The 16148-nt window shown below is 39.5% G+C and overlaps 1 protein-coding gene across 2 annotated transcripts in view, besides 1 other annotated feature; it reads right to left on the bottom strand.

Moving 5' to 3' along the window:
- Positions 1–16148, bottom strand: part of PPP1CB (protein phosphatase 1 catalytic subunit beta) — a 51337-nt gene that overhangs the window by 33575 nt on the left and 1614 nt on the right. The window lies entirely within an intron of this gene.
- Positions 13979–14192: a silencer, noted in NCBI's record as "fragment chr2:28978040-28978253 (GRCh37/hg19 assembly coordinates)". NCBI's record gives its function as "represses an EF-1alpha promoter that drives an FKBP-Casp9 reporter gene in an ReSE screen in K562 erythroleukemia cells {active_cell/tissue: K562}" and the evidence as "EXISTENCE:reporter gene assay evidence [ECO:0000049][PMID:32094911]".

Raw genomic sequence — 16148 nt, 5'->3', positions numbered from 1 at the left:
ACTCGGGAGGCTGAAGCAGGAGAATCGCTTGAACCCGGGAGGCAGAGGTTGCAGTTAGCCAAGATCACGCCATTGCACTCCAAGCCTCGGCCACACGAGCAAAACTCCATCTCAAAATAAATAAAGAATTCTAGGTTGTCATTTTTTTTCTTTCAGTGCTTTAAAGAGAACACCATTCTATTGTCTTCTGTCTTCCACAGTTTCAGGTGATAGATCAGCCATCATTCATATTATTGTTCCCTGAAGATAATGAATTTTTTCTTCTGACAGCATTTAACATTTTCTCTTTCTCTTGGATTTCTAGCAGCTATGTTCAATATGGTTTTCTCTCTATTTACCCTGCTTGGAATCACACAGCTTCTTTAATATGTGCTTGGATATCTCTGTTTTGGAAAATTATTAGTCAATATTTCCATCCCATTGTATGTCTATCTCCTCTCTTTCTGGGATTCCTATTATACATGATAGACCTTTCCACTGTCTATCAGCAATACATAAGTCTCTCATGCTTTCTTCTGTACACTTTTTTTTTTCTGTCAGCACTAGATAATTTCTATTGGTTTTTGGTCAATTCAGTTTCATTAGCTTGTCCAAAACAGCATATCCTATTTTGGTGAATGAAATACTGAATTATGGATACAAAATTGTAGAAGTTTTAGATAATACCTTTCTCCAAAGAAGGCTGTTTCCTTTTAGCAGCAGCACAGCAGTAACTCATTTTCCTGAGGGCTGGTCTGTTTTAGTTTTGCCTTCAATCTTAGGCAGTGGTCATGATGGGGCCACAGTGGAAAACTCAGGGTGTAATAAGGCCCCTCTAACTTGGCAGGATTTGAACTTCCATTTTTGCCTCTCTGGCATTAGATACTGAAATGTCTGCTCAGATCTTTAGCTTTTCAGCTACTGTTTTCTGCTGGGTTTCTTCTCTTGCTTATGTGTACCTCTGAAGTCAGTCAATGACTTTAGAGGGACCTGACTGCAGATTTTGAGGTTAGATTTTATGTGGTTCTCTCCTCTCCTGGACTTAAGCTTCAATTGCTTTAGTGGCCCCAAACTTCCACCTTTCTTCCTTAGCCCAGTGAGACCGTCACTTTTTATTTGGGATCTATTTCCCCTATGCCACAAACTAGGAAATGTCTCCAGGGAAAAAAGCCAGGGTGACTGGTGAGCTCACACTATACGCTTCCCTTGTCAAAGATCAAAACCCCTCAACAATTTTCTGTGTTGGCTGCCTCTTCAACAATGGAATGGCTGCCGAGAGGCACACAAAATGTGATTATGCATACACTAGAAATTCAGGTGATTACATTAAAAAAATTGAGGAATGACTTGTCAAGGACTAGACACCATGGCTCCTAATCCCAATTTATTTCACCTGACTTAATCAGTCACACAACTTTGGTGGGAGCACCAAGGTTTCCTGACTTCCAGTAAGGTTATCTTTCTACAATCATGTTTACATTAGGAAAGGCAGAAAAACTACACCAGTATTCAGCAAACTAAGGCCAAGGGGTCAAATCTAGCCCAATGCCAGTGTTTGCATGGCTAGGGGCCTAAGAATAATTTTTTACATTTTTTAAATGATTGCAAAAAAGCAAAACAAAAGAATCCTCTGTGACATATAAAAATTATATGAAACTCAAATTTTGGTGGCCATAAAGTTTAATGAAGCATAGCCACTTATTTATCACTGGACACATTCATGCTACAATGGCAGAGCTGAGCAGTTGTGATGGACTACATATGGTACTCTCATCACTTCACACTGCTTTTCGGTGCATCACAAATTATACAGATGCAGTTACAACCTGGCAGCGTCATGGGTGTCACGATTATTGCTGTACTGCAACATTTTATTTACTTTTACTACCAGTGCATACTCATCATGTCAAAGCAAAAAAAGTGAACTTTGAATGTTGTGTTTTTAAGACACAATAAAGTGTGGATTATGTTATTTAATTGGGTGCTAAGGCATTGTAGTCATTATGTAGCTGTGCTAAAAAAAAAACCACAACATATACTGATGTTACCAGATGGAGCACTCACCACAGCATTCCCAATTCATAGTAAAGCAATGGTAAGGGAACTTTTTAAAAAATTAAAATGAAATCTCATCACAGCAGAATTTCTTCACAAAAATAAAAATGAGTCTGCAACTCAAGTTTCCAAGTGGCCCATTTGTTAGCCAAGTTAAGTCATTTATCAATGGTGGGTTAATTAAATTGTATCTGATTGGAAAAGCTGAAGAACTATGTATTTTTTGAGACAATAAACTTTTTTTTTTTTTTGAGATGGAGTCTTGCTCTGTTGCCCAGGCTGGACTGCAGTGGTGTGATCTCGGCTCACTGCAAGCTCTGCCTCCCTGGTTCACGCGATTCTCCTGCCTCAGCCTCCCAAGTAGCTGGGACCACAGGTGCCCGCCACCACGCCCGGCTAATTTTTTGTATTTTTAGTAGAGACGGGGTTTCACCATGTTAGCCAGGATGATCTCAATCTCCTGACCTCGTGATCTGCCTGCCTTGGCCTCCCAAAGTGCTGGGATTACAGGCGTGAGCCACCACCCCAGCTGAGACAATAAACTTTTAAACGCCATTAGCCTTTCTGTAAAAACGGTGCTTGAAGAGTTGAGAACACTGGGAGCAAAATTAGTAAACAATTAAAAAACAAGCCAAATGGTTCTGAGTGGTGTTCCTTGGCTCTCGATGACAGGTATTACCAATACTTGTTATTTGGGGAGCCAATCCTCATTCGAAGTGACTGAAAAGTTACCCTCTATAAATAATCTATGTGGAACAACTAGAGGCAAGAATATTCTCAAAGCAGCTGAGAAAAACTATTTTAGTACAACCTGAAGTGTAATCTGCTAAGATATGTCACAACTGATGATGGTAAAGTAGAAAAATACTTAGTTGGACTATTTTACAAAGTCTGAGAAAATGTAGGATGTTTGAAGTCTGGTGCAGTTTTTTTGTGGAAAAATATCTTAATCAGGTATTACTGAACCACAGGCATCAATGGTCAACTTCATTTGCTCTAATGAACTTAACCACTGTCAGTTACATGACTATTTGTTAGTAATAAAAGCTGAATATCCTCATTTGGCCAACCACACAGGATTTTGATGGCTTAGCAGTGACAGCTTTATTGTAATTTATTTGCATTCAGGGCTGATACTGAATTTTTTCTAAACAAGAACCACCACCCTCAATCACTATTACCAAACACAGAAGAGTTTTAGAAATTAAATTTTGCGGCAGATCTAGTAATTTTTCCCCTTTTAATTCGAGGTAGCCTCTATTCTACAAAATAGAATGAAAGCTCCCCTAAATGTTTTCTAATAAATTCAGCCTAAAATTATAAGGCAAAAAAATATATGAGAAACTTCCATTGTGGTAAGTCATTCTGACAACTAATACTGTCTGAATTAAAGCAAGTTGCTTTATTTTTTAATTTTTTACTTTTTGAGATGTGGTCTTGCTTTATTGCCCAGGCCAGAGTGCAGTGGTGTAATGAGGCTCACTACAGCCTACTGGCTCAAGACATTCTCCTGCCTCAGCCTCCCAAGTAGCTGGGACTATAGGCACATGCCACCACACCTGGCTAATTTAATTTTCTATAAAGACAAGGTCTCACTATGTTGCCCAGGCAGGTCTCAAACTGCTGAACTCAAGTGATCCTCCTGCCTCCGCCTCCCAAAGTGCTGGGATTAAAGGCGCGAGCCACCATACCCAGTCAGCAAACTGCTTTATACATAACCCGTGCTGCCAAGTTAAGACAAGTGAGATCTTCATTCCCACACAATTTTGCAGCAGATACATTTTTTCAAACTCAAACTAGCATTCTTCAAACCTTGACTCAAGCGCAAAAAAAATTTCCATATATCAAAATCCATTTAACTGTGCAGCCGAGGAGCTTCCACCTAACCCTCTACTGGAAGTGATTAATCTGCAATGTAATGACATGCTGAAAGGCAAGTATCAGGAGAATTCTATAAATGCTTTCCAAGTGATGAATATGCAGTATGTCCCTGTGTAAAAAGACATCTTCTAAGATGAAATACATAGAATCTCACTACAGATCAGCATCAAGAGATGACCACTTGCAATCAGTTTTGATGACAGAGAACATTAACTTTGAATCTCAATTAAGCAAAATGTGTATCCTCTCCCAAAAGAATTCTGTCCTTTACTCAACCATTATATTTCACATTTTATATCAGTGTAAAAACTTTTCCATTGCAGGTTTGTCTTTCCAACGCACATATCCAAGGGTATGTGATATATATGTGTCTGTGTGTTGTGTGTATACTAAATTTTACTTTTCACTAACCTTATGCTACTTTCCCCAGCAAGTTCTTACTTATCATTACCTCTCTAAAACAGAAAAGATGGCAAGAAAAAAGCACTAATTCCAACACCTATGCACGGTGTCTCATAAATTTTTTTTTTTTGAGACAGGGTCTCTCTGTCACCCAGGCTGGAGTATAATGGCATGATCTTGGCTCACTGAAACCTCCACCTCCTGGCTTCAGGTGAATCTCCTACCTCAATCTACTGGGTAGGTGGGATTACAGGTGTGTGCCACCATGCCCAGCTAATTTTTTGTATTTTTAGTAGAGACGGGGTTTCGCCATGTGCCCAGGCTCGAACTCCTGACCTCAAGTGATCCACTCGCCTTGGCCTCATAAAATCTTAGTAATCTTCACTGACCACTGGTATTCTAACTCTTACTCAACCCCCACCCCCAAGATTACATACTAATTAATGGCAGTTAAATCTAGACATCCTAATTTTTTCCTAGCATTTTCTCCATATTTAGCACAAAAGCCTGCTTTTAAGCAACAAAAAGGCAGAAAAATAAAAATTCTACAATTGGCTAAAATGTGGAGTCTCTCTTTTTTTTTTTTTTTGAGATGGAGTCTCGCCCTGTTGCCTAGGCTCGAGTGCAGTGGCACAATCTCAGCTCACTGCAAGCTCTGCCTCCCGGGTTCACGCCATTCTCCTGCCTCAGCCTCCCGAGTAGCTGGGATTATAGGTGGGTGCTACTATGCCCAGCTAATTTTTTGTATTTTAAGTAGAGACGGGATTTCAGCATGTTAGCTAGGATGGTCTCGATCTCCTGACCTCGTGATCCGCCTGCCTCGGCCTCCCAAAGTGCTGGGATTACAGGCGTGAGCCACCACGTCCAGCCCCCTTTGCTTTTTCATTCTTTCTCTCTTGCTTTTCTTCTCCCTCTCCCACTCTGTCTTCCTTTCCTCCCCATCTTTCTCTATGCACACAACACACACACGGTTTTAAGTGAAAAAAAATTAGGCAGCTGCTGTACTTCCCTCTCATCTTAGGACTGCCTGTTAACAATAATTAATGTGGGCCGGGCATGGTGGCTCATGCCTGTAATCCCAGCATTCTGGGAGGCTAAGGTGGGCGGATCAGGAGGTCAGTTCAAGACCAGCCTGACCAACATGCTGAAACCCCGTCTCTACTAAAAATACGAAAATAAGCCAGGTGTGGTGGCGCGCACCTGTAATCCCAGATTACTCGGGAGGCTGAGGCAGGAGAATCGCTTCAACCCGGGAGGCAGAGGTTGCAGTGAGCTGAGATGGTGCCACTGCACTCCAGCCTGGGTGACAAAGTGAGACTCCGTCTCAAAACAAAAGAATAACTAACGTGGATTCAGAGACCAAAATGGCCTTTAGTGGCTCTGTATAGTACCACAAATTGTCTGTAATATTGTGTATATGTAAAAATATTTTTCTGAGAAGGCCCATGGCTTTCATGAATTCACAAAGCATAAGTAAAAAGTCATTTCAGGTACATTGGTAAACAAATAGCAAGTATAATGAGAAAAGAGTGAAGAAGAAAAGTGACAGATATAGGTGAGGGCTAGACATTTCAGGAATAAAGGACTTTTTTTTTTTCCACTGCACTGACATCTGCTTTGATAATACAAAAGCAAGGATGGGTAAAACTGTTAAGTGTCTCAGTACACACCAAGTCAGTGGCACCAAACCCCACTGGTAGTCAGTCACTGTGTTGTTCATTGCAACACACATGCAGTGAAACACAAAAAAGGCAGCTTCATGTATGCCCTTTGGTAAAGCAGTACAAATGATCAATTTTATTAAACTTCAATCTTTGAATACATCTCTTTAATAATCTACATGATAAAATGGAAATGCCCACAAAGCACTCCTGCTCCATCCCAAAGTACAATGGTTGTCGCAAAGGAAAGCACTCCTGTGACTGTTTTAGTTCCAAGCAGACCTAGACACTTTTTTTCACTAAACACTTTTACTGGAAAGTATTAACTGACAAACTATGGTTATTCAGACTTAGATATTCAACAGATACACGTGAACATGAACAAAGTGACCCTGTCATTTCAAGGAAAACAACTGACAGTACTTGTTGCCAATGATAAAATTCAAGCTTTCAAGTTACAAACTAAAATTCTAGAAACCTTGTAATCAGCACCATGAATCTGACAGCTTCTCCATAATTAAGGACTCTTCTGATGAGATCTTGTAACATTAACAAATGTCATTTCTGGATACTGTATTAGATAATAAGCTGTTTCAACATCTGGACATCTGCATAACTCAGCTGAATCAATATTATCCAAATGAACAACGCGTATTATAAAGTCATGTGTAAGATCCATTTAAAGTACAAGAAAGATCAATGGATTTTAATGTAAGAGAACATAAAAATTCATGGATATAATTTCAGATTCCACATCTCTTTTAAAATTCACCTTTAAAAAACCACCACTTGCTGATTTTTGGTATAAACATCAGAGAATACCCACAATTATCTAGAACAGCTATTAAACTACTCCTCCTTTTTCTAACTACGTATCTGTAGGACTACAGACTTTCTTCATATTCAACTAAAACAAGGTATCAAAAGACTGAAACAAAACAGAGATGTGAATTCAGCTGTCTTCTGTTAAAAAGACATTAGATTTGCATAAAATGATGGCACTTCTCACATTTTTGCTTTAGAAAAGTTATCTTCATAAAAAACATTTATGCTAAAATGTAATATGTTGCTACTTAAAGAACAGATATTTATTTATTTATTTAGAGACACAGTCTCACTCTGTCGCCCAGGCTGGAGTGCAGTGGCGCAATCTCAGCTCACTGCAACCTCTGCCTCCCAGATTCAAGCAATTCTTGTGCCTCAGCCTCCCAAGTAGCTGGGAATACAGGCATGTGACATCACGCCCAGCTAACTTTTTTATATTTTTAGGAGATGGGGTTTCACCATGTTGCCCAGGCTGGTCTTGAACTCCTGGCCTCAAGCAATTCCACCCGCCTCGGCCTCCCAAAGTGCTGAGATTACACGTGTGAGCTACCATGCCCGGCCGAGAACAGAAATTTTTAAATTCTCAGTTTTAACTTCTAATGCAATATTGTTAAATACCTCACATAAATAAAAGCTCGTTTTCAATTCTTTACATATATGGAGAATTTGAGTGTAAGAGGGTCTCAAGACTCAAAGTTTAAGATACACTGCCCTATAGTTCCTGGCCAAAAGCAAGCATACAACAGTGTTAAATCACTTTTCACCATTTTATCCTACCTAGAAATACCTTTCCCTCTCAGCACCAACACTGATATGTCAAACCAGATTATAAACGCTGAATAATGGGAATAGTAAAGAAACTGTTATACGTACTTACATACAAGAATAGTGGTTATATGCAATAAACAGAAAGTGGAGGAAACAGTATCTGTCACATACTTACAAGAAAGCCTTCTCAAAATTAGTATGGGGAAGTTCCAGGACTCAGTGGCACAAAGAGCTCTCTGTTAGTATTTCCTAGCTCAGGTTTGTACTAAGCAATAATGACGGCTAACATTTTCTGACCTTTAATGTGTCAAGAATTGTTTGAAGGCACTTACTATCATATATGCAGAAGAAACTGGGGCTGAAATACACCCAGAATCTGTGTCGTTAATCATTATATAAGATGGCATCCCAATGTATCAATACTTATTAATATTTGAGTAAACACTTAACTGAGTAAACATCTGATTATCATTCAGGATTCACATAATTCTAGTAGTTGGGAGTCCGAAATTCACAAAAGCTATTCCTTTCTGTCATCTAAAATCAGACCTCACTCTTTCTCACTGACAGGTTTGCAAGTTTCTCCCCCTCAGAAGTCTGGTCTCGGCCGGGCGCGGTGGCTCACCCCAGTAATCCCAGCAATTTGGGAGGCCAAGGTGGGCAAATCACAAGGTCAGGTGTTCGAGATTTAGTGAAATCCCATCTCTACTACTAAAAATACAGAAAATTAGCTGGGCATGGTGGCAGGCGCCTGTAATCCCAGCTACTCAGGAGGCTGAGGCAGGAGAATCGCTAGAACCCAGGAGGCGGAGGCTGCAGTGAGCCGAGACTGCACCACTGCACTCCAGCCTGGACAACAGTGTGAGACTCCATCTCGGAAAAAAGAAAAGGTCTGGTCTTTTTGTCTCGCTAGTTTGGCTCAAGTATTTGATAGTAATTTAAATAAAACGCTCAATTCAAACCACATTGAGGAAACATACAAGTACCTATAAAGATTCCTTCTTAATTTACTATTTAAAGTTTTAAAATACGTGATTACAACTGCTAGATATGACATTAGTGAAAGCTATGTAACACCCAATATACCTAACCTTTTATTATGAAAACTTAGATTTTGATTTCTCCAAATCTTGAGAATGAGAGGTAGGACTAGGGGGAAGGTTAAAATGGTGTCAGACAAGTCCAGTTATGCATCATTTACCAAAGGGAAACTTCCTGAGAGATGCACAGTGAGGTGATTTTGTTGTTGTGCAAACATCACAGAGTGGACTTACACAAACCTAGATGGTATAGTCTATTGCTCTTAGGCTACAAAGCATGATGCACAGTATGTTACTGTACTGAATACTGCAGGCTACTGTAACACAATGTGCTTGTATATCTAAACATATCTAAACACAGAAAAGGCACAATGTATATACAGTAATAAAGATAAAAATATTTTTCTTTCTTCAAGAATAAATTAACCTTTGCTTACTTAACATTTTTTACTTTAGAAACTTAAAAAAATTTTTAAACATTTTGAATTTTCTAGTAACGATTAGCTTAAAACAAAAGCATATCATACAGCTGTACAATATTTTCTTTATATCCTTATCCTATTAAGCCTTTTCCTATTTTTAAAAATATTTTTCACTTTTTAAACTTTTGTTAAAAACTAAGCCATATACACACACATTAGCCTAGGCCTACAGAGTCAGGATCATCAGTAACACTATATTCCGCCTCCACATCTTCACTGGAAGGTCTTCAGGGGCAGTAACATGCATGGAGCCATCACCTCCCAGGATAACGAAGCTTTTTTTCCTGGAATGCCACCTGAAGGACATGCCTGAGTCGGTTTTAACTAGTTTTTTAAAATAAGAATATATTCCAGGGCCCTGCGTAGTGACTCAAGCCTGTAATCCCAACACTTTGGGAGGCCGAGGCAGGCGGATCACCTGAGGTCGGGAGATCAATACCATCCTGGCTAACACGGTGAAACCCCGTCTCTACTAAAAATACAAAAAATTAGCCAGGTGTGGTGGTGCACGCCTATAATCCCAGCTACTCAGGAGGCTGAGGCAGGAGAATCACTTGAACCTGAGAGGCAGAGGTTGTGGTGAACTGAGATCGCGTCACTGCACTCCAGCCTGGGCAACAAGAGCGAAACTCTGTCTCAAAAAAAAGAAAAAAAAAAGGTAAATATATAACATAGCTGTTTATTACCATTATCAAGTATTATGTACTCTATATAATTGTGTTATACTTTTTTTTTTTTTTTTTTTTTTTTTTGGAGATGCAGTCTCACTCTTTCGCCCAGGCTGGAGAGCAGTGGTGCAATCTTTGCTCACTGCAACCTCCACCTCCCAGGTTCAAGTGATTCTCCTGCCTCAGCCTCCTGAGTAACTGGGATTACAGGCATATGCATGCCACCAAGCCCAGCTAATTTTTGTATTTTTAGTAGAGATGGGGTTTCACCATGTTGGCCAGGCTGGTCTCGAACTCCTGACCTCAAGTGGTCCACCTGCCTTGGCCTCCCAAAGTGCTGGGACTACAGGCATGAGCCACCACGCGTGGCCTGTTGTACTTTTACACAACTGGCAGTGCAATAGGTTTACACCAGCACTACCACAAACAAGAGTAATGCATTGCACTATGACATTATGCCTATGATGTCACTAAGTGACAGGAATTTCTCAGTTCCATTCTAATCTTACAGGACCACTAACTACCTTACATGAAGTCCACTGTTGACCAAAACATCATTTGACAGAACATATGACTATACTCAAACCAAGAAAGTGTTTTGGTCACCTTGCAACTGACCAGATGGGAACTTCTGTTACTTAGGGATATTCTGATTAACATTCTTAGAATAAAATTCCTTTATGGTGAAATATGCTATGTTAAAACCTCCCAATTATGCAAGGGTGGGCATGCATCAAAAAGCAAACGCTATTCCCTCTGGGATATGCACATATCATCAATATCTCCACTTGTCTTTGCACAGATGCAGGTAAATTTGGCAAGGGAGGGTTCTGAGGCCAGTGATGTTCACGAAGGTTATACATACTCTCACAAATCACTGTGCTCCACATGTGAATAGTGCAGAGGCAGAATAAAGGACAACTGCCCCCGCCCTTTTTCCTACTGTATGACAAGTACCCATCTAGACCAAGGACTGACTTCCTCTATCAAATCAGGAAAAAACTGGCTACTGGTTATTTATACTTGAATAAGCCTTGAAATGGCTATTTAAAGCTGCTAGAAGCAGTGGCTGCTGCCTAAGGGTATCAATCTGTATCCAATCACAAATCCTAGAAGACTCCACTGGGAATCCCCATCTACCACACCACTGCTAAACCTACTGACATTTACAAACTATTTCTTCCCCTTGCCTCCCTATATGCCACCAACATTCGAGAATAACCTTTCAGAAATACATAACAGAATTTAAGTCAGTATTTCTAAGAATCTTAACATTCCTTCATACCTGTATTACTTTACCTGTTAGAAATGTTTGAAAATGGGGCTGGGTGCCTGTAATCCCAGAACTCTGAGACTGGCCTGGGCAACAAAGTAAGATTCTGTGTCTACCAATTTTTTTTAATTAGTGGTGCATGCCTGTGGTCCCAGCTACTTGTGAGGCTGAGGTAGAAGGATCACTTGAGCCCAGAAGGTTGAGGCTGCAGGTGAGCCATGTTCATGCCACTGCACTCCAACCGGGTGACAGAGCCAGACCCTGCCTCCAAAAAAAAAAAAAATTAATTAAAAAAAATTAAAAATGCATGGCATTGGAATGTATACTCTTTTAAAAGTAATAAACGTGGAGAATAAGGAAGAAAAAGACCTACTAGATGCAACTATCTTCCCCACTAATCCTGACTCTTAATGTGGCTTTGTCTCTAGACTCAATTTAAATAATGTATTAAATCCCAACGAATCTTCATCTTGGATTTAGATATTTACCAGAAAAGCTCCAGGTCTGCATTCAGATAGCAAAATAAAAACACCTCTGGGCTACTTCTTCAAACTGTCAGTTTCCCTTACTTGCTGAACTTAATTCAGAGAAAACAAACACCTAATCTCTGAATCAGTTAAAAAATATGCCACGACCTTATGTCTCCTCTAGTATCTCATCCAGAAGAATCAAGGAGATAAAATATTCCTCGGGTGATCTCCCCCACTCCCCAACATGCTCTTTTTTCTAACAAGTCTAGCTGCACATCCACACAAAACACCTTCCCTACAGAAGTGGAGGTTGTCGGCAACAACTGACACTTCTTTCCAACCACCTAACCTTTAGGTTGCTGGGTCAGAATTAAACAATTTAATCAGTAAAGAGGCCTTAAACAACCTGGCAGCTCATCAAAAAGTTAAACATAGGGCTACCATATGACCTAGAAATCTCACTCCCAGCTATATACCCAACGGAATTGAAAGTATATGCCCACAAAAAAAAACTTCTACACAAATGTTGATAGCAGCACTACAAGTATTCACAATAGCCGAAAGAAAACAAAATGTCCATCAACTGATGAATGAATTAAAAATGTGGTGTATACATACAATGGAATATTATTCAGCCATAAAAGGAATAAAGTACTGATACATACTACAACAAAGATGAATGTTAAAAACATTAAAAGAAACCAGTCACAAAAGACAACATATTGTATGATTTCACTTGCATGAAACGTCCAGAATAGGCAAATCTAAGAGACAAAAAAAAGTAGATTAGTGGGGGCCGGGAGGGAATGGAGAGAAATGGGGTGTCTGCTACCGGGAACAGGGTTTTTTGGGGGGTATATGTGTTTGAAAATATTATACAGTTCACTGTGGTGATGGCTGCACAACTCTATAGTATACTAAAAATCATATCCTCTAAATAGGCAAACTGTATGGTATGTGAATTATATCTGGATAAAGCTGTCATTTTAAAATGGAGGGCTTTAATATGCTTTCATTAATCGATTTCATTTTTCAAATCCATTCATTTTTTTTAACCTTCAAAAGGACACTACAGGCTGGGCGCAGCACCTCGCACCTGTAATCCCAACACTTTGGGAAGCCAAGGCTGGAGGATTGCTTGAGCACAAGGGTTCAAGACCAGACTGGGCAACCAACATAGGGAGACCCCGTCTCTACCAAAATAAAAAAAATTAGCCAGCCAAGGTGTCATGTGCCTGTGGTCCCATCCACTAGGGAGGTTGAGGCAGAAGGATCGATTGAGACCAGGAAGTCGAGGCTGCAGTGAGCCATGATCAAGCCACTGCATTCCAGCCTGTCTTGAATAGGAAAAGTTAAAAGTGTAGTCTGTCAGCCTAACTAAATCTTAAGAGTACTATACCTGTTTCACAAGAAAGAAAAGGGAGATACGCACTAAGAGATCACAAGCAGTGTCACAAATTCAGACATCTGACAGGTCAAAGTTAAATGAAAAATGAATTTAAAAAACAAAACAGGTACAAACACATCCCACGATTTTCATAAAACTGTAAGTGGGCCAAAAATGTAACACAATCACATTTTGCTATGGAACTTTACACAGTGCTAATATTCTACAACTCATATTGTAATAGTCAAGTTCAGCTTCGTGGTAATATGTTAAAAAATACTTTAAGAAAAACTTTTCTATCACACAGCAAATCGCTTTTCGGTATTTTTGAAGACATTTCAATGACAAGGGAAAATGTTCATGATGTAATACTACATGAAAAATTAACTCATAAAGCTATGTAAAGAATATTCTAATGATGTAAAGCATGTGAATTTTACAAAGTATGTTAAGTATCTTTAAACAAAAATATATCAAAATTTCAACAACGGTTATCTCTGGATTGTGGAATTACAGGGGACTTCTTGAAAGAATGCTGCCCTTTCATAATCAGGAAAAAGCAAATTCTAAACAGTTTCATATTATCACATATATGACACATAATAGACATACTATATCAACTGGCACATCCCAGTTTTTAAATACCTGGATCAAGACTGTGGTTGGGAACAGAGCTGGCACTCTTATTCACCCAGCAGCAGTTTTCCATACTAACCTCCTCCCAAATGCATTAGATTCTACTCATTCCACTTCACTTCCTCCAAAATAAACTTAGCACTTATAGTTTGAATGAAGTTCCCCAGATGATTCTGCTATACTCCCATTTCCCACCCCTCTTTGAGAACCACTCATCTAAGTAAGAAGCTTTTACCGGATTTTCCAGAATACTCATACAAACTAGCTTCAATTTAAATGATCAAAACACTATGGTAAGCCACAAGAATGTGGCCAACAGGGTCACTACAGGGGATAAAGTAGAAGTCTTTGGTTTTTAGTTCTAAGCAAAAGTTAATCCAAGAAAACATACCGAAAGAATATGCACCGTCCAAATAATAAAATCAATATTTCTGTTTTACATTAAATGGCATGTTTGTATTAAAATGACCTAAAGGACTCTTTGAAAATATCATATCAAGGTCAGGCGCGGTGGCACATGCCTGTAATCCCAGCACTTTGGGAGGCCGAGGCGGGTGGATCACTTGAGGATGGAAAGTTCGAGACCAGCCAGGCCAACATGGTGAAACTACTAAAAATACAAAATTAGCCGGGGCGTGGTGGCATGCTGTAGTCCCAGCTACTTGGGAAGCTGAGGCAGAATAATCGCTTGGACCTGCAGGGGCAGAGGTTGCAGTGAGCCAACATCACCCCACCGCACTCCAGCCTGGGTGACAAGCGCAAAACTCCGTCTCAAAAAAACAAAAAACAAAAAAAACTTATCAATAATACGCCCACCTAAAAAAGAAAAACAAAAAGCAACTCATAAAATGTAGTCACCAGAAGTGTGTATAGCTGATCTGCGATTTAATACAGTAAAAAAGAAAAAACAATCAGGAATATGTTGTGGGGCTACAATCAGCATTTTAAAATGAGATCAGGTCCTGCTGAATGTTTTCCCCTAATGCAGAGAAATTCTTGCCAAATTTTTACTTACACGTTCATTTGACACTAAAAACACTAACCATAGTTATTCTTGCTAGGCAGCTTTACAAAATATCACTAACTAGCATCTAATATCACTGAAAATCCAGGTGGACAAAATTTTCTTTGAAGATTAAAAATAATTATTTACTAGAAAATTCAAGTCTGCTCTGGACAAGTCTTTCAACAGGTCTGGATCTGGGAAGGAGCTGAAAAACCTAGAATATTTAAGAATCCCTTGGGGGCACTGTCAAACTAAATATGCTTCTGTAGGATGAAGAAGTACTGATAGAATGTGTGCTGAACATAGGACAGAGAGGAGGCTGAAAAAGCCTGAAAGACACTTGTTTAGACTGGGAGCTCCTTGAGTGAAGAGACTGTGTCTTATCTTAGGATTGCTGGTGCCTGGCAAGGAGGAGGTCAACTTGTTAACGCTTGCTAAATTAAGAGAGAAACGTATCTGGACTACAATTCTTACCCGCCCCCCCCCCGCCCCCCCAAAAAAGGAAAACAGATTGTACAAACCAAATATTTAATTTGAATTCACAAAAACAAATGGAATCACTTATTTTTCCCCCAGTGTCTTTTCTAGTAACCTTGCACAACCCACTCGTGAAGTTTAAGTACCTGTAATCATATAAAGGTGCGTCTAATTTAAAAGGATACAAACATTTTAAAACATAAATCTGTTTTATGCCTACAAAATATATGGAAAATGAAATAAAATATAAATAAATTGAGATACAAACATATTTTTAAAATATTTAAATTTACAAGCAAAGTTTAAAATATATAAAAATATGCCGGGCGCGATGGCTCACGCCTGTAATCCCAGCCCTTTGGGAGGCTGAAGCGGGTGGATCACGAGGTCAGGAGTTCAAGACCAGCCAGGCCAAGATGGTGAAACCTCCGTCTCTACAAAAATACAAAAAAAATTAGCCGGGCATGATGGCGGGGTGCCTGTAATCCCAGCTACTCAGGAGGCTGAGGCGGAAGAATCGCTCGAACCCGGGAGGCGGAGGTTGCAGTGAGCTGAGACCGTGCCATTGCACTCCAGCCTGGGCGACAGAGTGAGACTCCGTCTCAAAAAATAAAAATAAAAAAAAAATAAAAAGGAGTAGGCCTCTACTTCCCAAATGTAAACAAGACATACACATTTTTAAATTAACTGTATTTCCCTCATAAAACAGTTACAAAATACAATTATTTTCAAAGCAAATTTCTCAAAGACCCAGCAAGATGTTCACATCTGAAACAAAGTCTTAGGTAGTGAACACTGACTGCAGGCACCAGGGGGCCTCCCAGGAATAACTTGATAGTAAAGGAAAAGGTAAATAAGAGTTCCTGGTAAAACTTTTGCTTCCTATTCAGTCTTAAGACTGCTGGATGGCTTTCACATCTGGAGCAAATACACAGTATTTAGTTACAGAACAGGTACTCACAGAACTTGGGTTTGAGATACCGACACATACTTTGAGAAAAAGGAATTACCCCTCCCCCATTACAATATTCTTTGATGATTTTCCAAATATAAGTACATACTGCTTCACTCTAGCAATTATCTTAAGGTAATTTGAAAGCAAACAGTACATATGCAATCGCTGGACGGCGGCTAACAA

The sequence above is a fragment of the Homo sapiens genome, chromosome 2, assembly GCF_000001405.40.
Source record: "Homo sapiens chromosome 2, GRCh38.p14 Primary Assembly".
Lineage (NCBI taxonomy): Eukaryota > Metazoa > Chordata > Mammalia > Primates > Hominidae > Homo > Homo sapiens.
This window is presented reverse-complemented; position numbering and strand designations above follow the sequence as displayed.